The sequence below is a fragment of the Homo sapiens genome, chromosome 19 (genome assembly GCF_000001405.40).
Source record: "Homo sapiens chromosome 19, GRCh38.p14 Primary Assembly".
Classification (NCBI taxonomy): domain Eukaryota; kingdom Metazoa; phylum Chordata; class Mammalia; order Primates; family Hominidae; genus Homo; species Homo sapiens.
Window position 1 is genome coordinate 21,595,004 of NC_000019.10, and position 24,717 is coordinate 21,619,720.

General features: G+C 45.0%; 1 long non-coding RNA gene across 7 annotated transcripts in view; it reads left to right on the top strand.

Annotated features, from left to right (window-relative positions):
- The window catches only part of LOC105372323 (uncharacterized), a 41,604-nt gene that overhangs the window by 8,631 nt on the left and 8,256 nt on the right, over window positions 1-24,717 (top strand). The window contains exons 2-5 of one of the 7 annotated variants that reach the window (XR_001754059.2): window positions 1,345-1,468; window positions 2,281-2,362; window positions 17,323-17,412; window positions 19,481-20,876. This is a non-coding gene — a long non-coding RNA (uncharacterized LOC105372323). Of the gene's footprint in view, window positions 1-23; window positions 483-1,344; window positions 1,469-2,280; window positions 8,291-17,322; window positions 17,413-19,480; window positions 20,877-24,717 lie in introns of those variants that run through there. The other 6 variants (XR_001754057.2, XR_001754058.2, XR_001754061.2 and 3 more) reach the window with 6 other exon arrangements.

Consider the following 24,717-nt stretch of genomic DNA (forward strand, 5'->3'; position numbering starts at 1 on the left):
AGGGGAGATCGTGACATATCACTGGACCCAGCATCTAGGTGATATGGCTCTCCTTTTTCACCTTGGCTTCTTGTATTTTGGGTATTATGACATATCACTGGGTCAAACCAAAGGAGGGGGAGGCTCTTGCCTAGGCCCTGCCCACAGGAGACCTTGAGACAGATCTCTGCATCCATCACTTTGGAAGTGTGACTCTCCTCTTCTGGCTGCTCCATGCCCGCACAGAAGACTGTGATATATCTCCGGGTTCACCAACCAGGTGGTGTGTCTCCCATACCTGGGCTTTTCTTGCAGAGATAATTGTGACAAATCGTTGTGCACAGCACCCAAGTCACGTGACTCTCCTCTCATATCAAGGCTCTGCCAACTAGGGTAATTGTGACATACAGCTGGGCCTAGCCCCTAGGTTCTATGACTCTTTTGATGATTCTGAGCCCTATCTACAGAGGTCATTGGGAAATATCTCTTGGCCCATCTACTAGGTAATGGAACTCACCTGCCTGGGCTCTTTTTTTAGGAGGTATTGTGACATAGGGCTGGATCCAGACCTAGGTAATGTGACTCTCCTCTACTGCTTGGGCTTTACTCAAGGAGGAATTGTGATGGGTCACTGAACCCAGCACCTGGGTTATGTGTTATGTGACTTTCCTCTTCTGCCTGGGCCCTGCATCAATTGTGTTTTTTTTTTTTTTTTTTTTGAGATAGTCTCATTCTGTTGCCCAGGCTGGAGTGCTGTGGTGCCATCTCAGCTCACTGTAGCCTCCACTGCCCAGGTTCAAGTGATTCTCCTGACTCAGCCTCCCGAGTAGCTAGGATTACAGGCGTGAGCCACCACACCCAACTAATTTTTGTATTTTTAGTAGAAACGGGGTTTTACCATGTTGGCCAGGCTGGTCTCAAACTCCTGACCTCGAGTGATCCACTTACCCCAGCCTCCCAAAGTGCTGGGATTACAGGCATGAGCCACTGCACCTGGCCCCCTGCATAAATTATACATTGTGACTTCACTGGGTACTAACACCTAGTTGTTCTGACTCCTCAGCATGGGCCCCGCCTACGGGTGTATTATGACATATCTTTTTGTTCCTCACCTAGGTGACGTGACTCTTTTTTGTGTCTTGACCCTGCCTAAAGGGGTGATTGTGACATATCGCCGAACTCAGCACCTAAGTGATGTGACTCTCCTGTTTTGCCTGGGCCCTGCACATATTTGGCACTGTGACAAATCTCTGGAACAAATACCCAGGGCATGAGAGGCTCCTGCCTGGGACCTGCCCAAAAGGGGCCTTTTGGCATATCTCTGCATCAATTAACTAGCAGATATAACTCTTCTTTTCTGCCTAGGTTCTGCCAAAACAAGTGATTGCAACATATAATTGGACCAGCAACTAGATGATGTGACTCTTCTCTTCTGCCTGAGCCCTGGATATACTGTGTATTATGACACATGGCTGAGTCCAACATCAAGGTAATGTGACTCTCCTCAATGGGTTCTGCCCACAGAGGTATTATGACATATCTTTATATTTATTATCTAGGTTATGTGACTCTTTTCATGTGCCTGGGCCCTGCTGAAGTAGGGATTCTGACATACCACTGAACCTAGCACCTGGATGATGTGACTCTCTTTTATTGCCTGGTTCCTGCATATTTTGATTATTTTCACATGTCACTGGCTCCAGCACCTAAATAATGGGAGATAGTTGCTTGTGCCCTGCATACAGGGGGCATTGTGATATGTGTCTGGACCCATCAACTATTTGATGTGACTCTCCTCTTCTACCTGGGCTTTGCAAATAGGAAAGATTGTGACATATCTCTGGGACATATCTTGGTAATGTGAGTCTCCTCTCCTGCCTGGGCCATGCCCACAAAAGGGAGAGTGACTTCTCACTGGGCCAAGGACAATGTTGATGTGATTCTTCTGCCTGGTTCCTGCACACAAGAGCCATTATGACCTATCTCTGGGCCCATCATTTAGATGATGTGACCATCTTTTTCCTCCTGATTTCTATTCACAGGGGGCATAGTGCAAGGGTATTGTGACATATTGCTGGACCAAGCACCTAGGCGATGTGACTCCTCTCTAATGCTTGGCTTCTGACCAAGGAAAAATTGTGATATATCACTGTTTCCAGCACCTACGGGATTTGACTCTCCTGAATGGGCCCTGAATTTATTGTGTATTGTGACATATGGCTTGGTTTGACACCTACGTGATGTGACTCTCATTCATATGCCCACTGGGGTATTATTACATATCTTTTCTTTATCACCTAGGTGATGTGACTGACCACTTCTGCCTGGGCCATGCCGAAAAAAGGAGATTGTGACATATCACTGCATTCAATACCTAGATGATGTAAGTTTTTTCTTTTGCGTGGCTCTGCATATTTTTCATATTGTGACATATCATTGGACCCAGCACCTAGGTGACGATACTCTATTCTCCTGCCTTAGCACTGGAGAATAGAGTATCACTGGACGCAGCACCTAGAAGATGGGACTGTATTCTACTGCCTTGGCGCAGCATACAGAGGGTGTTTTCACATATCACTGGGCCCTGCACACAGGTTATGTGGCTCTCCTGTGACATATTGCTGGGTCCAACAAGCTGGTGACACAACCCTCCTGCTGGGGCCCTGCCTCCCTGGCATTGTGACATACCTCTGTGCCCATCACCGTGGTGATGTGATTCTCTTCTCCTGCCTGGTCCCTGATCACAGAGGGGATGGTGATATATCGCTGAACCCAACCCCTGGCTGACGTGACTTTTCTTACTAGGCTCTGCTCACAGAGGAGATTGTGTCTTTTTGCTTGGCCCAACGACTAGGTAATGTTATTTGTTTTGCCTTGGCCCTGCCCTCAGAAGGCATTGTGACATATTTCTGGGCCCAGCATAAAGGTTATGTGAATCTCCTGCTTGGACCCTGCTGACAGGGGGAATTGTGACATATCTCTGGAATTTGTCACATACAATTTATCCTAAATTCCCCTGAAAATTGGAGGTCATCTCTGGTTGCTAATTGGCTATATTCAAAGGAAAAATAAACTTATGCTTTCATGAGAGGTAGTTTGGAAACTTGGAGCCAGGTGCGTGATGAAAGTTGGCTCCTATCTTCCAACAAAAAGTGTGGAATGGAGCTCTATTTTCTTTGCTATTTACATTTTAAATAAATGATTTTCAGGTCCTAGAGAAAGACAGTCCTGAGTCAGAGATACTCACAAAAGACCTATTTAGCAGTTAGAATAATTTATATATATTTCAAGTTGGCAGAAAAATAATTTAAGTATAAAAGTTTTCTGGGCTGGGCGTGGTGACTCACACCTGTAATCCCAGCATTTTGGGAGGCCAAGGCAGGTGGATCATGAGGTCAGGCATTCAAGACCAGCCTGGCCAAGATGGTGAAACGCCATCTCTACTAAAAACTACAAAACTTAGCCGGGCGCAGTGACAGGTGCCTGTAATCCCAGCTACTCAGGAGGCTGAGGCAGGAGAACCACTTGAACCTGGATGGCAGAAGTTGCAGTGAGCCAAGATCACACCACTGCACTCTAGCCTGGGTGACAGAGTGAGACTCCATCTCTAAAAAAAAAAAAAGTTTTCTAAAGTGAATGTGTTTAAAAAAAGAGAAGAGAAAAATCTCTTTTTTCATGGACATCTGAATTCTAGTAGGTGCTGGATTCAGGCACCTGAGGGGTGACCTTGGGCATACTGTGCACATCAGAAGGGTTTATGGGGAAGTAAAAGCAGAAGAGGTTGGGCGCAGTGGCTCATGCCTGTAATCCCAGCACTTTGGGAGGCCAAGGTGGGTGGGTCACCTGAGGTCAGGAGTTCAAGACCACCCTGACCCACATGGCGAAACCCCGTATCTTCTAAAAATACACACAAAAAAATAGCTGGGCATGGTGGTGGGCACCTGTAATCGCAGCCATTTGGGAGGCTGAGGCAAGAGAATTGCTTGAACCCAGGAGTTGGAGGTTGCAGTGAGCCAAGATCCCACCACTGCATTCCAGCCTGGGCGATAGAGTGGGACTCTGTCTCAAAAAAAAAAAAAAAAAAAAAGAAAGGCAATAGAGGGAAAGGTGTTATCAAGAACCCATGAGTGGGGGACAGTACATAATAGCTGGGAGAACTGGTTTATGCTACAGACACTAACCCAGGCAGGGCTATATTCTGACATGTTCCTGTGTCCATACAGGCAGATGAGATTATGACTGGTGGTCCACAGGTCTAGGTGGATGGAGGGAAAGGTTGCTGCTGCTGTTTGAGGATCAAGGGTAGGAAAGAGCCAGGAGTCCTCTAGGAACTTGTGTGAATTTTTTGGTGAGCAATTCTAGGTGCAAAGGCCCTATAAACATAATTCCTGATAGTCAAGTCTTGTTTTGTGGAGGGTGTGGCCACATCTATTCCTAGTGGGTATGTTCATAAGTAGGTGAGAATCGTGTGGTAGCAGGTTGGGGGCAGGGGGTCTGTTCTCAGAACTCCTTTCTTCTAAGTCCTCAGTCCCCTTTTACCCTGAGAGGAGATCTGGAATCACAGGACAATGTGCATTGTGACAGACTGTGTGCAGGGGAACAGAGTTTCCCTCCTGCCTAAACCCCTGGGATATTTTTTCCTGACACCAAATGTATAGAGTTTTAACAGCAACCAATTCTCCAACACCAATTGGTTGTCCAATAATAACTCAATTCTGATACCATCCTGAGTCAACGCAGACGCCAAAAGTTCAGGGCTCAGTCCCACAACACTGCCCCCACTGCAGATCCCAGCTGCGATTATTAGGGGCCCATCTATCCTTCTGAGCTACTGCCTATAAATTGGGGGCTCCCATAACCTGCTCCTCAAGTTTAATAACTTAATATAACTACTCACAGAACTCAACAAAACACTATACATGCATTTACCAGTTTATTATAAAGATACAAGTCAGGAACAGCCAAATGGAAGAAATGTAAATGGCAAGAAAAAGCGGTGGGGGGGAATGGGGTGGGTAGGTAACAGCAACAGCTGTGATTAAAGAAATCCCCCATCCTTTGTGTTTTCCAAGAGCATTTACTGCAAAGAAACATCTTTCCTGTTTTTGATATCACAAAGCCACAGACTCTAAATTCCCTTTTTTGGGGGTCTCATAAACAATTAAATAATAAGTTTGTCTTCAGTGGTCAGAACAAAATACTTGTTAACCAAACTTTGTCTAAGTTTCTTTCCTTCCTCAGGCTCCCAAACTTTGACCTGAACTTACTCTGAGCTGACACACAACTCCTCTTTATACCCCTCTTAAGAACAGGCTAGCCAGGTGTAGTGGCTCATGCCTGTAATCCCAGCACTATGGGAGGCCAAGGTGGGCGGATCACCTGAGGTTAGGAGTTCGAGGCCAGCCTGAACAGCATGGAGAAATCTCATCTCTACTAAAAATACAAAATTAGCCAGGCATGGTGGTGCATGCCTGTAATCCCAGCTACTGAGGAGGCTGAGGCAGGAGAATTGCTGGAGCCCGGGAGGCAGAGGTTTCAGTGAGCTGAGATCACACCATTGCACTCCAGCCTGGGAAACAAGAGCAAAACTCGGTCTTTAAAAAAACAACAACAACAAAAAATACAACAGGCTAACTTCTGGGTGAAACATTCTCTGATCTGGGACCTGATTTCACCATGTTTTATTCCTCCCTCCCCCTCCTACCTTTCTTTCTGTCCTGTTTCCTCCTCCTTATGAAAGAAAGCCCTATTCTGCCTAACTTTTGAGATCTTCCAGCATCTTATAGTTGGTGCTTTCCCTTTGTTGCAATACTCCTTTAAAATCATGTAACTTCTTACCTAAATCTGAATTTGTCTTATTTTACAAAATCTAGAAATAGCCCCAGGAAAATAACGACTCCATCCTCAGAAAGAGCTTCCCAACCCCACTTTCATGCCAATCCCAACTGTGTCTGCCTAAGGATTTCCAGCTTTTCAGGGTTTTGTCATTTCTCTAAGTATAAAAGGCTCTGTCCATGGCTATTGTGAGCAGGCTAGGGCATCTGCAGGGGAGGCTCCTCAGGCAGAACTGGTTGCTCCTTCAATAATCTCCCTTTGCAGGCAAAACTATTGTTAGCTTGGGGAGTCACTGAATTCAGGCTTCTACTTCCCAGTCAGGGTTATTCACTTAGTTTTAAATAAGAAAATGCTCAATGTTTGAAGAAAAGAGCAAAATCACTCAAACACAGTGTTTATAGAATATTGTAAGGAAATTGTAAGGCACTTAGTATCTATTTCTTTCAGAAAATAAACGTGTCATTTAAATATTTCCATGATAAATAATTTAATAAATAACCATATGGGAACATTTCTAGAAGGTGCTAAGTCTCATCTCATAAAATTTAGCATTAAACTTGGACATCCAGACCACAGGATACAGAACACAGATGTCCACTGTTACAAATTCTAGACCCTGCAAAAAATGGGAGCTGATGTTTTGAAAAATATATGCAATTCACCAGTTAATCTATCACATTTGCTGTGGAAATATATCACTTTCTGTAGCCATAATGCAAGAGCGATTTTTCCTATTTATTTCCCTGGTAGCTTTGGTTTTTTTTTTTTTGTTTTTTTTTTGTTTTTTTTGTTTTTTTTTGAGACAGAGTTTCACTCTTGTTGCCCAGGCTGGAGTGCAATAGCTTGATCTCAGCTCACCGCAACCTCCGCCTCCCAGGTTCAAGCAATTCTCCTGCTTCAGCCTCCCGAGTAGCAGGGATTACAGGCATGGGCCACCATGGCCAGCGAAGTTTGTATTTTTAGTAGAGATGAGGTTTCTCCGTGTTGATCAGGCTGATCTCGAACTCCCAACCTCAGGTGATCTGCCTGCCTCAGCCTCCCAAAGTGCAAGGATTATAGGTGTGAGCCACCGCACTCAGCCTTCTGGTAGCATTTTCAAAGAAAAGCCCTGGAATTTTACTTGAAATCACCCCCCAAAAAGAACACACATAAGAAACTTACTACACTCACTCTGGGGATAATAAAGATAGATAAGAATCTTTAATGAAATAAATATATGACTAGATTTTACTGAAATCCACCTTTCTGGGTACTTGACTCTTGTAAAATGTCTTAAGTTCTACTAATAAAATGTAATTTAAGGTAATTAAAAAACTGAAGTTGAAATAAGTAAAATAATCTTTCCAAGGTGACAAACTCAGGGAGTGGCAGTGCCGATTGGAACACAAACATGTCTGACTCAACTGTCAAGTCAGACCATGGTATCACTCAAAACATTCTCCCATTCCCATCCTACCCATTCAATTACTCAGTGATCACCTTCCCAGGAGAAACTGTACTGTACTCCACTGTGGGCCTCAGGTACATTTTGTTTTGCAGGTTCTTGCATTGCCTTACTAAAATGGGTTCTTCTTAGTCCTTTGGAAAAAAATTTATTTCTTCACAAATCTGATGAATCCAAAGGGCAGGAATTATTTCTGCCTTTTCTCCTCAATATGAACCTCTGATTGGCTGATCACCAATGTGTCTACAAAGAATAAAAATTGGGGTTTAAAAAAACCCTTTTTTTAACTGCTTGCACACTTGTGCATTTTTATTTCATTGGAGGAAAATCCTAAATACATTGCAGAGTCAAGGGGTAAATTAAAAAAATAATAATTTCATTTATTTATTTTGAGATGGAGTCTCACTCTATCACCCAGGTTGGAGTGCAGTGGCGCAATCTCGGCTCACTGCAACCTCCGCATACTGGGTTCAAGCGATTCTTGTGCCTCAGCCTTCCCAGTAGCGGGACTACAGGCATGCACCACTATGCCTGGCTAATTTTCATACTTTTAGTAGAGGCGGGGTTTCACCATGTTGGCCAGGTTGGTCTTAAACTGGAATAGGAATTAAAATAAATTAAAGAATGTGTAAACAGAAACTCAGCTGTATGTAAGAAAACCCAATTCTCCCTGAGAAAGAGAAAGAGCTGGAGTCCTTTAAAAATTAACTGCCTGTTTTTCTGTGGCTAGTGAGCCTTATCTCTTCTTTCCCAGGCACTGTTTCTCTAGCTGTGCAGCTGCAAGGTCACTAGACAGATAAACTCAAGTCGTAAAACATGTTTTTCCTTGAAAAGTAAGAATGATGTAATGCATGTCTCAATTAATTGAATAACTGTCTTTCTTTCTCGCTTCTGTAATATGCTTCCCCCTGCACAGATCTCCCCCAACCCCACAAAATGCTTAAAAGATAACTTAGCTCTTTGTTCAGGGCTCAGTCCTTTGGATGTAATCCGACTAGGCCAGTGAACCTAAATAATAAATATCCTCCTCAACCCCTCGGTCTCCCTGATTCTTTAAAATATCCTGCAACATTTCTGGGGGCTTATCTGGGTTTGGAGATGATAGATTTACTGTCTCCTTTGCCAGTGTGTCTAGGGCCCCGGGGATGGGGGAGACCCAGCATCCAAGACGCACCATGAGGGGGTTTCACCTGGATGGAGACCAGCTCTCCCCATGTCCTGGTGCCCTGCCCAGCAGTGCAACAGAACTGGGGACAGAGATGCAGGACAATACCAGCACTTCAGGAACCACGATAAGGAGTAGTGGCCCAAGGCAGGAAAGCCCGTCCCATAGGGATGAAGGGGACTGACCATTAATCCAACCCAGAGTGGCTGGGGGCAGCAGGAGTGGCCTGCCAATTTGATTGAACCTCGTGTCCCCACTAACAAAGTGAAAATGGTTCACAGAATCTGGAGACAGGAACTGGGGGTGTGTGGGTGCATGTGAACCTACCTGGGACATGAGAGAGGCTCATTTCATCCGATGAGGAGTCCTGGGGTAGGAGTGATGGGTTTATGTGTGTGAATGTGGGAGCCTAACTAGGCTCACCCAGGACACAAGAGAGGTTCATTTCATCCAGTGAGGAGTCCTGGGGCAGGGGAGGTGTGTGAAAGTGTGTGAAAGAGATGGTCTCAGGAGAGGCCAACATGGGGACTGATGTGGGGAGGCACAGATCCCTTAGTGCAGGCTGTGTGCTCTGAGGCGAGTGTAGGCAAAATCAAACCTAGGATGTTGCATACGGCTGATAGGATCAGCTTTGCAGCTGCAGCAGGCTGTGACAGGGGAAGGCACATTCCTGGCTAAGCAGCATCCAAAACTCCTGTAATAGGACCCAGTCTGGTGAACCTGAGGGTGAAAATGAGAGTGAGAGTGCACTGCAAGGGAGGAAATGAGAGGGAAAGCATTGAAACCAACTCCTTTGGAGTGCACGATAAAGAATTTTTTTAAAAAAGGATTTAGAGGTGATTATGGGATGAAACTGGATGTTCAAAAGTTAAAGACATACTGTGAATTAGAATAGCCCTGTTTTAGTGTTGGATGGCTGGCCGAAGGCACTATAGAGAAATTGGCCATGTGTTTTAAGGTGGTGACTAGGATCAGAGGACAGCCAGGACATTCAGACCTAGTCTTTATATTGACTCATGGCTAAATGAATGCAGCCCTGCTTAGCAGTTTATTGTAGAACGCTCACAGCTCATGCCAAGAGAAACCAGCTGCACTGGCAGCTACAGAGTTAAAGGGAAAGTCACAGAGGCTTATAGCACCAAAAGCAAAAAGTGAAAGCCAAAAGTGAAAGTAAAAATCAGCCACCCTGGCAGCTATGGAGACAAAAGAAAAGTCTTAGGAAAAAGAAAACCAGTTTTGCAAGAACCACAGGAGGGAATAGAGACCCCTCCTCCCTACATTCCAATCTACCCCCCTTTACCAAGGCTAACTGCCCCTAAGGAGTTAAGTTCAAAGAGATACAGGCTCCCAGTCTCACCCGAGAAAGAGAAATCAGAGCTCTGGGAAGTTAAAGCGAAAGGCTGGAAAAGTCAGGCAGGCCATCTCAGGTCGAGCCATGCCCAAGTTATGCTTCTGCCTCTAAAAAGGACAAGAGGACCCCCACCAGGATGCAGATGATGCAGTCCACCTTCAGCACCCACAAAAGTGCCGAGAAGCACTTCTGCAAAGGCTAAAGGATGGTAAAAGAAAAAGGCAACCAATATAAAACATCTCAGAGGTGCTCCAGGGTGCAGATAAAAGCACCAGCCAGTTTTATGAAAGACTTTGTAAGGCATTTTGGTTGCACACTCCATTTAACCCTGAGGCTGCTGAAAATCAGTGCAAGGTGAATACGGCATTTGTAAGGCAGACCCAAGGAGATATCAGGCATAAATTGCAGAAGTTAGAAGCTCTGTAGGCATGAATGCTACTCAGCTTATTAAAGTGGCTACCAGGGTGTACATTAACGAGATCAGGAGGCAAAGAAGAAAGCTGATCAGAGGCTTAAGAAAGGCTAATTTACTAGCAGCAGCCCTTGTGGGAAGAGAAGCTGGCTTTGCAAAGAGGCATGGACGCAGGCGTGAACACAGTCACGGAAAAGGCTAGTCCGGACAGGAGTTTGAAAGCTGGCCAAGGCTAGAGAGAGATTTATGTGCACGGTGCAAAAGGAAAGGACACTAGAAGGATACACGTCAAAAGAATAAGGAGAATGGGCCGGGCATGGTGGCTGACGCTTGTAATCCCAGCACTTTGGGAGGCCGAGGCAGGTGGATCACGACGTCAGGAGGTCGAGACCATCCTGGCTAACACGGTGAAACCCTGTCTCTACTAAAAATACAAAAAAAAAAAAAAAAAAAAAAAAAAAAAGCCGGGCATGGTGGCAGGCACCTGTAGTCCCAGCTACTCGGGAGGCTGAGGCAGAAGAAAGGCGTGAACCCTGGAGGCGGAGCTTGCAGTGAGCTATCGCGCCACTGCACTCCAGCCTGGGTGACAGAGCAAGACTCCATCTCAAAAACATAAAAAGAATAAGGAGAATTGTCAAGGCCATGGTATGAAAAAAAAAAACCACCGGCCAAGGGCTACTGCACCCAGGAAAAACCCAAGACCCCCTGCACCTGCTGTGAAAGGCAGGATATAAAGTATCAGAAAACAGCTCAAATCTGCTCTAAAAGTGTCCAGTATTTAAGCTTTTATATAAACCAAGAGGAAAGATGGCTTAGTAGTAAACAAAAGCAGGCTGTTTGTGTACTTCCTACTCCAACAACCTGGTGTCAAATAAGAGAGTTCCTAAGGGCAGCAAGGTTCTGCCACATTTAGATCCCAAATTTCTTGCTCATGGCTAAGCCATTATACAAAGCCACAAAGAGGAGGAAAGAAAGAGCCTCTCCTCTAGGAGGCCAACCAGGAGAAGGCTTTTATTTATTTATTTTTTTTTGAAGCCACTCCACAAGTCACTCTATATTGCAAATTATACATAATAGTACACCTAATCAATATATAAATGTTATGGGTTAAACATCTACAACAAACAAAATAACATTTAACATCAAGAGAAAAGAAATGGGAAAAAAAGGTTAATGAACCAGTCCATGAAGAGCAACAGAGACAAAAAGAATCTCCTGGTCTGGGCCAGGCAGTCCAGTGGTCTTGCAAGGAACACCTTTGATGTGGGTAGAGCCTTTCGTGGCAGATGCCAGAGCCTTTCATGGCAGATGCCATGGAGCTTATCTTTTTTTTTTTTTTTTTTTTAAATTGATCATTCTTGGGTGTTTCTCGCAGAGGGGGATTTGGCAGGGTCATAGGACAATAGTGGAGGGAAGGCCAGCAGATAAACAAGTGAACAAAGGTCTCTGGTTTTCCTAGGCAGAGGACCCTGCGGCCTTCCGCAGTGTTTGTGTCCCTGGGTACTTGAGATTAGGGAGTGGTGATGACTCTTAACGAGCATGCTGCCTTCAAGCATCTGTTTAACAAAGCACATCTTGCACCACCCTTAATCCATTTAACCCTGAGTGGACACAGCACATGTTTCAGAGAGCACAGGGTTAGGGGTAAGGTCATAGATCAACAGCATCCCAAGGCAGAAGAATTTTTCTTAGTACAGAACAAAATGAAAAGTCTCCCATGTCTACTACTTTCTACACAGACACAGCAACCATCCGATTTCTCAATCTTTTCCCCACCTTTCCCCCTTTTCTATTCCACAAAACCGCCATTGTCATCATGGCCCGTTCTCAATGAGCTGTTGGGTACACCTCCCAGACGGGGTGGTGGCCGGGCAGAGGGGCTCCTCACTTCCCAGTAGAGGCGGCCGGGCAGAGGCACCCCCCACCTACCAGACGGGGCGGCTGGCCGGGCGGGGGCTGACCCCCCACCTCCCTCCCAGATGGGGCGGCTGGCCGGGCGGGGGGCTGACCCCTACCTCCCTCCCGGATGGGGTGGCTGCCGGGCGGAGACGCTCCTCACTTCCCAGACCGGGCGGCTGCCAGGCGGAGGGGCTCCTCACCTCTCAGACGGGGCGGCTGCCGGGCGGAGGGGCTCCTCACTTCTCAGACGGGGCGGCCGGGCAGAGACGCTCCTCACCTCCCAGACGGGGCGGCGGGGCAGAGGCGCTCCCCACATCTCAGACGATGGGGGGCCGGGCAGAGACGCTCCTCACTTCCTAGATGGGATGGCGGCCGGGCAGAGACGCTCCCAGGAGAAGGGGTTTAAAGAAATCAAAAAAGCTTGACTCAGGCCCCAGCTTTAGGACTGCCGGATAAACTAACTAAGCCTATCTTCTTGTATGTCCACAAGTGAAAGGGAGGCCATAAGGGTTCTAACTCAAGCCATAAGTTTATGGCATCACCCAGTGACATACTTATCCAGGCAATTAGACTTTGTGGCACTTGGATGGCCTCTTTGTTTTAAAGCTATTAAAGCACTAGCTGCCACTGCCCTACTGGTGCAAGAAGCTAATAAACTGACTTTAGAGACTGTGAATAGCCTAAACCTGGCTACATTGCTCCTCATCAAGTCAGTGCCAGGAGACCCCTTTCATTTCTGTGTCAACATGATAGATGAAGTTTTCTCAAGCCAGAGAGATTTGATAGCCCCTCAGGGAAACTGGACATTAAATATTTTACTGATGGAAGCAGTTTCATACTAAAGTTTTATGAAAGACTTTGTAAGGCATTTTGATTGTGCACTCCATTTAACCCTGAGGCTGCTGAAAATCAGTGATTTTCACTAAAATCACTAAAGGGAGTCTGCCGAGCTGGGTATGCAGTGGTGACTTTGGACTCAGTAGTAGAGGTGCAGTCTCTGCCTACAGAAACTTCTGCTTAGAAAGCAGAGCTAATATCTCTGACAAGAGCTCTCTGGCTAGCAAAAGACCAAAAGACAAATATTTACACAGATTCCAAATATGCTTCTGCCACTTTGCATGTTCATGAGGTGATTTACAAAGAAAAAAGACTTTTAACTGCTGAAAGTAAAGAAATAAAGTACAAGGAAGAAATTCTACAGCTCTTAAATGCTGTATAGGACCCAAAAGAGGTGGCAGTGATGCACTGCAAGGGGAACCAAAAAAGGAAGAACACTAAAGGCTAAAAAAATAAAAATAAAAAAGCAGACAAAGAGGCAAAGCAGGCTGCAATGACAACTCCACCTTCTAAAGAGGAAGTCTTAGCTATGCTTCTCTTCCCAGAGATTCCCCTCCCGGAGATCCCAAGCTATGCTCCAAGTGAAAGGGCTTGTTTTGCCCAGAAAAATAAGAACTACACTAAAGGAAGATGGTAAAAATTCTCCAGTGGGAGGCTAGCCATACCAGAAATGGTGACCTCCAGATTTGTAAAACAATTCCACCAAAGAACTCACATAAAAAAAAAAAAACAGCACTAAAGACATTATTAAGGCATCATTTCTATGCACCATGGCTCACTGCTATTACTCAAGCCATTTGTAAACAAACAGTGTTTAACTTGCACTCAGAACAATCCATGACAAGGAGGGCCTACTCCGCCCCTGGGAGTTCAGGAAACAGGAGCCAGGGAGCCGTGCCCTGTGAAAAACTGCTTATAGACTTCACCTAATTGCCCTGAGAGGGAGGGCTATCAGTACATGTTGGTGTTCATTTGCACCTTTTCAGGATAAGTCAAGGCCTTCCTCACCCAGACAGGGAAGGCACTAGAGGTGACCAAGGTGTTGTTAAAAGACATTATTCCCAGATTTGGACTGTCTCTAACTCTAAGATCAAACAATGGACCAACATTTGTGGCTGAAATAGTTCAGGACTTTACTTGACTATTAAAATAAAGTGGAAATTACATACAGCCTACAGGCCGCAGAGCTCAGGTAAAGTGGAGTGCATAAACCAGACACTCAAACAGCTGCTGAAGAAATTTTGTCAAACTCATCAAAAGTAGGATCAGGTCTTGTCTGTTGTCCTCCTCCGAGTCAGGTGCACTCCCACCAAACAACTGGGTATTCGCCCTGTAAGATTTTATTCAGCCAGCCACCCCCCATCATAAGTCAGATTAAAGGTAATCTCTGTAAACTAGAAGAACTAACTTTAAGAAGGCAAATTCAGGCTTTAAGTATGGCCATGCAAAAATGCATGGCTAGGTATAGAAAAAAAATGCCTATAAGTCAAACAGACCCAGTACACCCTTTCAAACCTAAGGATTTTGTTTAAGTTAAAAAATGGAGGCAGGGTGTGGTGGCTCACGCCTGTAATCCAAGCATTTTGGGAGGCCAAGGCAGGTGGATCACATGGTCAGGAGATCGAGACCATCCTGGCTAACACGGTGAAAACCCATCTCTACTAAAAATACAAAAAATTAGCCCGGCATGATGGCGGGCCCCTGTAGTCCCAGCTACTCAGGAGTCTGAGGCAGGAGAATGGCGTGAACCCAGGAGGTGGAGCTTGCAGTGAGCTGAGATTGCGCCACTGCACTCCAGCCTCGGCGACAGAGCGAGACTCCATCTCAAAAAAAAAAAAAAAGGAAAAAAAATGGAATCCAACCACACTAGGACCCATATAGGATAGGCCCCATATCGTGATCATGCCTAGTCCCACTGCTGTTAAAGTTGCACGTTTCACACCTTGGATTCACCATAGTCGGCTGAAACCAGTGGCAGCAGTGACTCCCAACGACGAACAGTGGATTAGCCAACAAGACCCAGATTGCCCCACCCGAATAGTCCCATGGTGAAACCCAACCACCGGTAAGAAGGACAACTGCCCTGCTCTGACCACACTGGAGGCTGGTCAGTCTATGCACGGCTGAAGCTTGAGGATCCTGTAAGCTCTGCTCTAGTCACATCCTGGAAGCTGACTAGTCTACGCACAGCCAAAGCTAAGGGGACAATCTCCGGATAAGTAAATGTGGATACAATTTATAAGCCTAGTTATAATTCTGTCAATACTGATTGTTCTGTTGTTATGTTATTACTGCAAATACTGCAAACGTCTATGCCCAGAGGAAGGTTTGCCATGCCCATGTGTAGTGTAAGCATGTTTCTATTACATACACTGACGTTGTTACCATTTCTGCCTATACTAGAAGGGGAGAAATCCCTAGAAGAATGCCCACACTGTGTACACACTACCTGGATAAGGAATACCCTAGTTAAACCTCTACTGTACGTTACTGACTATGAATGTACAGGAACAAAGTTAGGAACCTGCACATACAACCGGAAACAGTCTGCAATAGTTTAACACAAGAGAGACTTAGCAGCAACAGTCCTAAACATCTGTACAGAAAACCACAAATCAGATGTCGAGACTGAACATTCAGTGGTCTATGCTAACACAGCTCCAACACTTACATTCAGGAAGGACTGCTCTGCTAATTAGTATGTCAACCAAACCAGATTGTAAGACAAGAACATACAATCCTTTAAATTTTACTATCTTAAAGCCAGAGCTACCTTCTTGGTCTACAGGACAGATGACACTATTATGAGTTGATAGACAAGGAGCAGAACTTGGAGTTCCACTACTAATTGTCAAAAAGACTAGAAGGACTCAAATGTATCCAACCCCACAATTCCAGGTCCATAAGTCATTCTATAAGCATTTTGATCAGTCAATGCTGAAGCTTCCCCCCATCAACCAAAAACTTATTTGCTCAACTAGCTGAAAACATAGCTGGCAGCTTAGGAATTTCCTCATGCTATGTATGTAGAAGAACTAATATGGAAGACCAGTGGCCATGGGAGGCAAAGGAATTAATGCCACAAGATCCCTTCACTTAACACTGCCAGTGAACCAACAGCCTCAGCCAGTGTTTGGTTGTCAACTACCTCCATAATTGGAAAGTACTGTATCACCCGATGAGGAAAGGCTTTCACAGAGGCAGTGTGAGAAACAACCTGCCTAGGGCAACAGTATTGTGATGAGACTAAAAACAAAACTCTATGGAGATCCAAACCCTTTCTCTCAATTCTCTACTCTAAGCCACACTTGGCATCAGCTAGAGGCTCCAAATTCTTGAAAGGCACCCTCTGGCCTATATTGGATCTGTGGAGCACAGGCATATCAGCAACTGCCAGCTAAATGGACAGGGGCATGTGCGTTAGGAACAATCAAGCCATCATTCTTTCTAATTCCTCTAAAGCAAGAGGAACTCTTAGGGTATCCAGTTTATGATAAAAATAAAAAAACAACTAGAAGCATAATAACAAAAAGAGACACAAATATCAAAAAAGATGTGGACATAGGAAACTAGAAAGATAATAAATGGCCTCCTGAAAGAATCATTAAATGTTATGGGCCAGCTACCTAGGCGCAAGATGGGTCATGGAGGTACCGTACCCCAATCTATATGCTCAACCGCATCATAAGGTTGCAGGCAGTCCTTGAAATTATAACCAATGAAACCTCAAGGGCACTAGATTTATTGGCAATACAAGCAACACAAATGAGGCATGCCATATATCAAAATAGGCTGGGTTTAGATTACCTATTAGCCTCAGAAGGAGGAGTATGTGAAAATTTTAATTTAACCAACTGTTGCCTAGAAATTGATGATAATGACCGAGCTGTCATGGAAATCACAGCTAGAATGCACGAGTTCACCTATGTTCCAGTTCAAACTTGATCTGGGTGGTCCCTGGATTCCTTGTTTGGAGGATGGTTCTCAACCTTAAAAAAAAAAAAATTAAAACCCTCATTGGTGGGTTCTTGCTTATTTTTGGCATCTGCCTCATCCTCCCTTGCCTTTTACCTCTGTTTATTAGGAGTATTCAGTCAACTATAGAGGCAATAGTAACCAAAAAAACTACCGTGCAGTTGATGGCATTAACAAGATTATCAGCCACTGCCAGTAGAAGAAGAAGCACAGCCCTGTGAAGAGGTGACAGATAGTGGTGCTTTCTGTTAACATCTTTGTTATAAAAAGCACCAAAGGGAGGAATGGAACAGGAATAAAAAGAAATTAAAGAATGTGTAAACAGAAACTCGGTTGTATGTATGAGAAAGAGAAAGAGCTGGAGTCCTTTAAAAATTAACTGCCTGTTTTTCTGTGGCTAGTGAGCCTTATCTCTTCTTTCCCAGGCATTGTGAAGACTCTGTTTCTCTAGCTGTGCAGCTGCAAGATCACTAGACAGATCAACTCAAGTCATAAAACATGTTTTTCCTTGAAAAGTAAGAAATGATGTAATGCATGTTTCAATTAATTGAATAACTCTCTTTGTTTCTCACTTCTGTAATATGCTTCCCCCTGCACAGATCTCCCCCTGCCCCACAAAATGCTTAAAAGGTGACTTAGCTCTTTGTTCAGGGCTCAGTCCTTTGGATGTAAATCTGACTGGGTCGGTGCACCTAAATAATAAATATCCTCCTCAATCCCTCAGTATCTCTGATTCCTTAAAATATCCCACTACAGAACTCCTGATCTCAGGTGATCTGCCTGCCTCAACCTCCAAAAGTGCTGGGATTACAGGCATGAGCCATTGCATGTGGCCTAAAAAATAATTTCTTTAAAATGGTATACTCTGCATCAACATTGACACAAAAGCTTCTGTTAAACTCTGACACCCACTCAGATGTCACCTCCTCTATAAAACCCTCCTTGATTTCCCTCACTGCTATCTCAGGGGGAGAATTAATCACTACTACCATTTGGCTGCCTCAATACCTTATATCTTTTTATGTACAAGCATTATTCTCCAGAATAAATTAATCATTTATGCATCTATCCACACTAATGGACTATAAATGGGGCAGATATGTTGAACCCTACTCATTTATGTAATCCAAATATCTGATACATAATAGGTGTTATATATGTATACACATGGAATCAAAATGCTCTCAGGGAATTATTGGAAAAGCTACCAAATTCTTTTTATTTTTTAATTTTTTTTAAGTTCTTTTAAGTTCAGGGGTACATGTGTAGGTTTCTTACATAGGTAAATATGTGTCATGGGAGTTTGTTGTGCAGATTATTTCATCATCCAGGTATTAAGCCTAGTACCCATTAGTTGTTTTTTCTGATCCTCTCTCTCCTCCTAATAGGCCCTAGTATGTGTTGTTCCACTCTATTTGTCCATGTGTTCGCACCATTCAACTCCTACTTATAAGTGGGAATATGTAGTATTTAGTTTTCTGTTCCTGTGTTAATTTGCTAAGGATAATGGCCCCCTGCTCCATCCACGTTCTTGCAAAGGACATGACCTCATTTTTTATGGCTGCATAGTATTCCATGGTGTATATGTACCACATTTTCTTTATCCAGTCTATCATTGATGGGCATTTAGGTTGATTCCATGTCTTTAATATTGTGAATTGTGCTGCAATGAACATACACATGCATGTCTTTATAACAGAAGAATCTATATTTCTTTGGCTATATACCCAATAACAAGATTGCTGGGTCAAATGGTATTTGTCTTTAGGTCTTTGAGGAATCACCATACTGTCTTCCACAGTTGTTGAACTAATTTACACTCCCTCCAACAGTGTATAAGTGTTCCTTTGAGAAAAACAAAAATCTCAATGTTCTAAGAGGTTAGTTTTTTAGGCAAATGGTATACCAAGAGACTGTCCTCAGGCCCAGGCCATCCAGCTGCTCCTCTGAGAGGCTACACTCTTATTCCTCAGACTGTCCTCTAAGAGATGACCCAGGGGATGATATTCATTAGACACTCCAAGAGATATGGCCATTATGGGCATCTTGGGTTATCCCAGACAGTTCTAATACTCATGAACAAGAAAAGACCGGAGGGCTGCTGTAAAGAGCCCTGTAATTTCTCCAAAGCAAAACTGCAACCCAAAGACATACTAATAAGGTGTGTGTGCCTAGGGAAGATAAAAGGAAGAGAGGCACACAGATTTTTTTTTTTTACAGTGAAGTGTCAGAGGATTATTTTCTACTTTTCTTTTCTACATTTGAGAATGTAGGAATGAAAGTGGAAATGTATAATTTTACTGCAAGCCTGAGTTAGGCTAGGGGAAAAGAGTGGTGGATTAGAGGCCCTGATTGCCATACATTAGGAAGACACAGAAGAAAACCAGTCCTGCTCTCCCTCTCCCTCTCCCTCTCTCTCCACGGTCTCCCTCTGACGCCCAGCCGAGGCTGGACTGTGCTGCCGCCATCTCGGCTCACTGCAACCTCCCTGGCTGATTCTCCTGCCTCAGCCTGCGGAGTGCCTGGGATTGCAGGCGCGCGCCGCCACACCTGACTGGTTTTTGTATTTTTTGGTGGAGACAGGGTTTCGCCGTGTTGGCCGGACTGGTCTGCAGCTCCTGACCACGAGTGATCTGCTAGCCTCGGCCTCCCGAGGTGCCGGGATTGCAGACGGAGTCTCGCTCACTTAGTGCTCAATGTTGCCCAGGCTGGAGTGCAGTGGCGTGATCTCGGCTCGCTACAACCTCCACCTCCCAGCCGCCTGCCTTGGCCTCCCAAAGTGCCGAGATTGCAGCTTCTGCCTGGCCGCCATCCCGTCTGGGAAGTGAGGAGCATCTCTGCCTGGCCGCCCATCATCTGGGATGTGAGGAGCCCCTCTGCCCGGCCACCCAGTCTGGAAAGTTAGGAGTGCCTCTTCCCGGCTGCCATCCCATCTGGGAAGTGAGGAGCGTCTCTGCCCGGCCGCCCATCGTCTGAGATGTGGGGAGCACCTCTGCCCCGCCGCCCCATCTGGGATGTGAGGAGCACCTCTGCCCTGCCACCCGTCTGAGAAGTGAAGAGCCCCTCCGCCCGGCAGCCGCCCCATCTGGGAAGTGAGGAGCCCCTCCGGCCGGCCGCCACCCCGTCTGGGAGGTGTACCCAACAGCTCATTGAGAACAGGCCATGATGATGATGGCGGTTTTGTCGAATAGAAAAAGGGAGAAATGTGGGGAAAAGAAAGAGAAATCAGATTGTTACGGTGTCTGTGTAGAAAGAAGTAGACATAGGAGACTCCATTTTGTTCTGTACTAAGAAAAATTCTTCTGCCTTGGGATGCTGTTGATCTATGACCTTACCCCCAACCCCGTGCTCTCTGAAACATGTGCTGTGTCCACTCAGGGTTAAATGGATTAAGGGCGGTGCAAGATGTGCTTTGTTAAACAGATGCTTGAAGGCAGCATGCTCCTTGAGAGTCATCACCACTCCCTAATCTCAAGTACCCAGGGACACTAACACTGCGGAAGGCCGCAGGGTCCTCTGCCTAGGAAAAGCAGAGACCCTTGTTCACATGTTTATCTGCTGACCTTCCCTCCACTATTGTCCTATGGCCCTGCCAAATCCCCCAAGAATGATCAATAAATACTAAAAAAAAAAAAAAAAAAAAAAAACCAGTCCTTCTGTGGAGTGTTAAAAATCATTAAAGAGCACGAACTTAGACTGAAGTGGCTCTAGTGCCCTGTGTTCATTGGTAAAAAATCTAAAACCTAACTCAAATGCATGTCTTATAAATTACTCTTAGGCAGAAACAAAATTCAGGCTTATCCAATCATAAACCTGCAATTAACCTGATTACATAACCAGGAAATTTCTACCTGGATCATACAAATAAGGTGACAACATAACTGTAACCAATTATTGAATCTGGTTTGCCTTCTGACACACTTTATAAAACCCTTTTCTTTTTTTTTTTGAGACGGAGTCTCGCTCTGTCGCCCAGGCTGGAGTGCAGTGGCGGGATCTCGGCTCACTGCAAGCTCCGCCTCCCGGGTTCACGCCATTCTCCTGCCTCAGCCTCCCAAGTAGCTGGGACTACAGGCGCCCGCCACTATGCCCGGCTAATTTTTTGTATTTTTAGTAGAGATGGGGTTTCACCGTTTTAGCCGGGATGGTCTCGATCTCCTGACCTCGTGATCCGCCTGCCTCGGCCTCCCAAAGTGCTGGGATTACAGGCGTGAGCCACCGCGCCCGGCCTAAAACCCTTTTCTTTATGCCCCTCAGGTGGACCTCAAATCATGGCTGGGTGCTTTCCATTTCACCAATCACTGTTTGCTCAAATAAACTTGTTAACGTTTTAACATTGACTCCCTTTAATTTTTAACAGGAGAGACTGAGCATGGTGGCTCATGCCTGTAATCCCAGCACTTTGGGAGACCAAGGCGGGTGGATCACCTGAGGTTGGGAGTTCGAGACCAGTCTGAGCAACCTTGAGAATCCCCATCTCTAGTAAAAATACAAAATTAGCCGGGCGTGGTGCTGCATGCCTGTAATCCCAGCTACTCGGGAAGCGGAGACAGGAGAATCGCTTGATCCCAGGAGGCGCATGTTGCAGTGAGCCGAGATCGCGCCATTGCACTCCAGCTTGGGCAATAAGAGTGAAACTCCGTCTCAAAAAAAAAAAAAGTTAATATGCAGAAACAGTGTTAATCAATAGGACAGCCCTCAGACATGGTTTGTGGTTTGGGGGCTACCAGCGGGTCTTGAAGAAAAGGCTCCTATAAGGTGTATGAGAAAGCAAAGCAAATTAAATAGCTGATTGGATACAGTTAGGTAGTCGCTTCATTTGGAGTGTCCAGGAGAAGATTTTCTGGTTATGTAATCAGGGATTAATTGGAGATTTATGGTTGATTAAGTCTGAATTTTGTTTTCTCCTAAGGTAGTAACTTACACAAAATGCATTTGAGTTAGATTTTTTTTGTTGTTGTTACATAGGCACCTAGACCACTAGAGCCATTCCAGTCTAATTACCTGCTATCTAATTATTTTAACTTTATTCAGGGGCTCTGGTGTCCCCCTACATTTTCCAAATGTGTGGCAAGCAGGTCCTCAAATCCACTACTCTGTTCTGCCAGCCTAACTTGGCTTGCAGCAAAATCTTATTTTTTATTTTTATTTTTATTTGAGATGGAGTTTCGCTCTTGTTGCCCAGACTGGAGTGCAATGGCTCAATCTCGGCTCACCACAACCTCCGCCTCCCGGATTCAAGCGATTCTTCTGCCTTAACCTCCCGAATAGCTGGGATCACAGGCATGCGGCACCATGCCTGGCTAATTTTGTATTCTTAGTAGAGATGGGGTTTCTCCATGTTGGTCAGGCTGGTCTGGAACAACCGACCTCAGGTGATCCGCCCATCTGGGTCCCCCAAAGTGTTGGGATTACAGGCATGAGACACTGCGCCAGGCCAGTAAAATCTTAAATTTCCAGTTTCTTTCAAATATTTCCCAGAGCCAACTCCTCCCCTCCAATTCACAACATTATCAACTATTTTTGTCCTTTATTTTACATTTTAGAAACAGCATTTTAATTAATCACTTATTCACAGAGCTGTGGATGGCACTCTTTAAAATACTTGTTTTCTTTCCTTTTTTTTTTTTTTTTTTTTTTTTTGAAATGGAGTCTCTCACTGTCACCTGGGCTGAAGTGCAGCAGCACGATGCGATCTTGGCTCACTGCAACCTCTGCTTCCCGGGTTCAAGTCATTCTCCTGCCTCCGCCTCATGAGTAGCTGGGATTACAGGCACCTGCCACCACGCCCAGCTAATTTTTTGTATTTTTAGTAGAGACAGGTTTCACTCTGTTGGCCAGGCTGGTCTCTAACACCTGACCTTTTAATCCACCTGCCTCGGCCTCCCAATAAAATAGTTGTTTTCTATTTGTAAATTTTTTCATGAGAGGAAAGCATAAAATCATCCCCTTACACTCCACTGTCAAAAATCTTTCTGCCTTTTCTCCTTTTATCTTCCCTAGGCACAAATGCCTTATCAGGACATCGTTGGATTGAGGTTTCCCTTTGAAAACTTGATGGGGCCATGTGTCCTCAGCCACACTCTGATCTCTTTCTAGTCTTGAGTTTTAGAACTGTCTTGGGATGGCCCAAGATACACACAACAGCCATGCCTTTTGGAAGCTTTGGTGACGACCAGCCCCTTCGTCTTCTCCTTCCAGAGGACACCCTGACATATGGGAATGTAGCTTCTCAGGAGAGCAACTGAATGCCCTGGGGCTCAGATAAATATCCTGGCTTACCCTTCCCATAAAAACAGAACCTTTTGGGATTTTAAGATTTTCTTTTCCCAATTCCAGTTCTTGCTGGTTAGCCAATCAGATGGTGGTATTTAGAGAAAAAGGCAGAAATCATGTCTGTCCTCAGAATAGTGTCATATTTGTGAAGGGAGAAAAACTATGCTGAAAGACGAAATAGACCTACCCCATGGAGGCAATGCAAGAACCTGCAAAGCAAAAAAGTACCAGGGACACAGAGTGGGGTACAGTGCAGTGTCTTCTGGGAGGGTGATCTTTGAGCACTTCGGTGAGTAGGGTAAGGGTGGGAGAATGTCCCAAGTGATAGGGTTGCCTGATTTGACACTTGAGTCAGATATGTGTCTGTTGCAATAAACACTATTACTCCCTGAGTTTGCCACCTTGAACAGATTTGTTCACTTATTTCAACTTTGGTTTTTTATTAGATGTAAATTGAATTTTATCATCAGAGCTCAAAAGGCAAAAAACATACTTACAAAGGGCATGAAAGAGGTTAATTTCAGAAAAAATTAAATATTTGGTCATATGTTTTACTTAGTAGAAATTCTTATTTACTTCTTTCTCCACCAGAGTGAGTGCAGTTAAATTTCTTTGGTCTGTCCTTTTTGGGGCATGATTACATTAGTTTCTCTTTTTTGCAAGCTGCAGAATTTTTAATATTTTGAATCTCTTTTCTGTATCTTGTCACCTGAATGTGTGAGTCTGATGCTAAATTTTGTTTTTTGTTGTTTTGAGACAGAGTCCCACTCAGTTGCCCAGGCTGGAGTGCAGTGGTGCGATCTTGGCTCACTGCAACCTCTCCCTCCCAGGCTTAAGCTGTTCTCCTGCCTCAGCCTCCCGAGTAGCTGGGATTACAGGTGCCCACCACCATGCCTGACTAATTTTTGTATTTTTAGTAGAGACGGGGTTTTACCATGTTGGCCAGGCTGGTCTTGAACTCCTGACCTCAGGTGATGCACCTGTCTTGCCCTCACAAAGTGCTGGGATTACAGGCGTGAGCCACCATGCCTGGCTGAAGCTAAATTTTATAAGATGGTACTTGGCATCTTCTAGAAGTATTTACATATTATTAACTTAATTATTTATTAAATTTTGTTTTTCAAGATGGAGTCTCACTCTGTCACCCAAGTTGGAGTGCAGTGGTGTCATCTCAGCTCACTGCAGCCTCCACCTCCAGCGTTCAAGAGGTTCTCCTGTCTCAGCCTCCCAAGTAGCTGGGATTACAGGCATGTACCACCACGCCTAGCTAATTTTTTTTTTTTGAGACAAAGTCTTGCTCTGTCACCCAGGCTAGGGTGTATTGGCGCAATCTCAGCTCACTGCAAGCTCCGCCTCCCAGTTTCACACCATTCTCCTGCCTCAGCCTCCCAAGTAGCTGGGACTACAAGTGCCCACCACCACACCCGGCTAATTTTTTTGTATTTTTAGTAGAGATGGGGTTTCACCATGTTAGCCAGGATGGTCTTGATCTGACCTCATGATCTGCCTGCCTTGGCCTCCCAAAGTGCTAGGATTACAGGCAT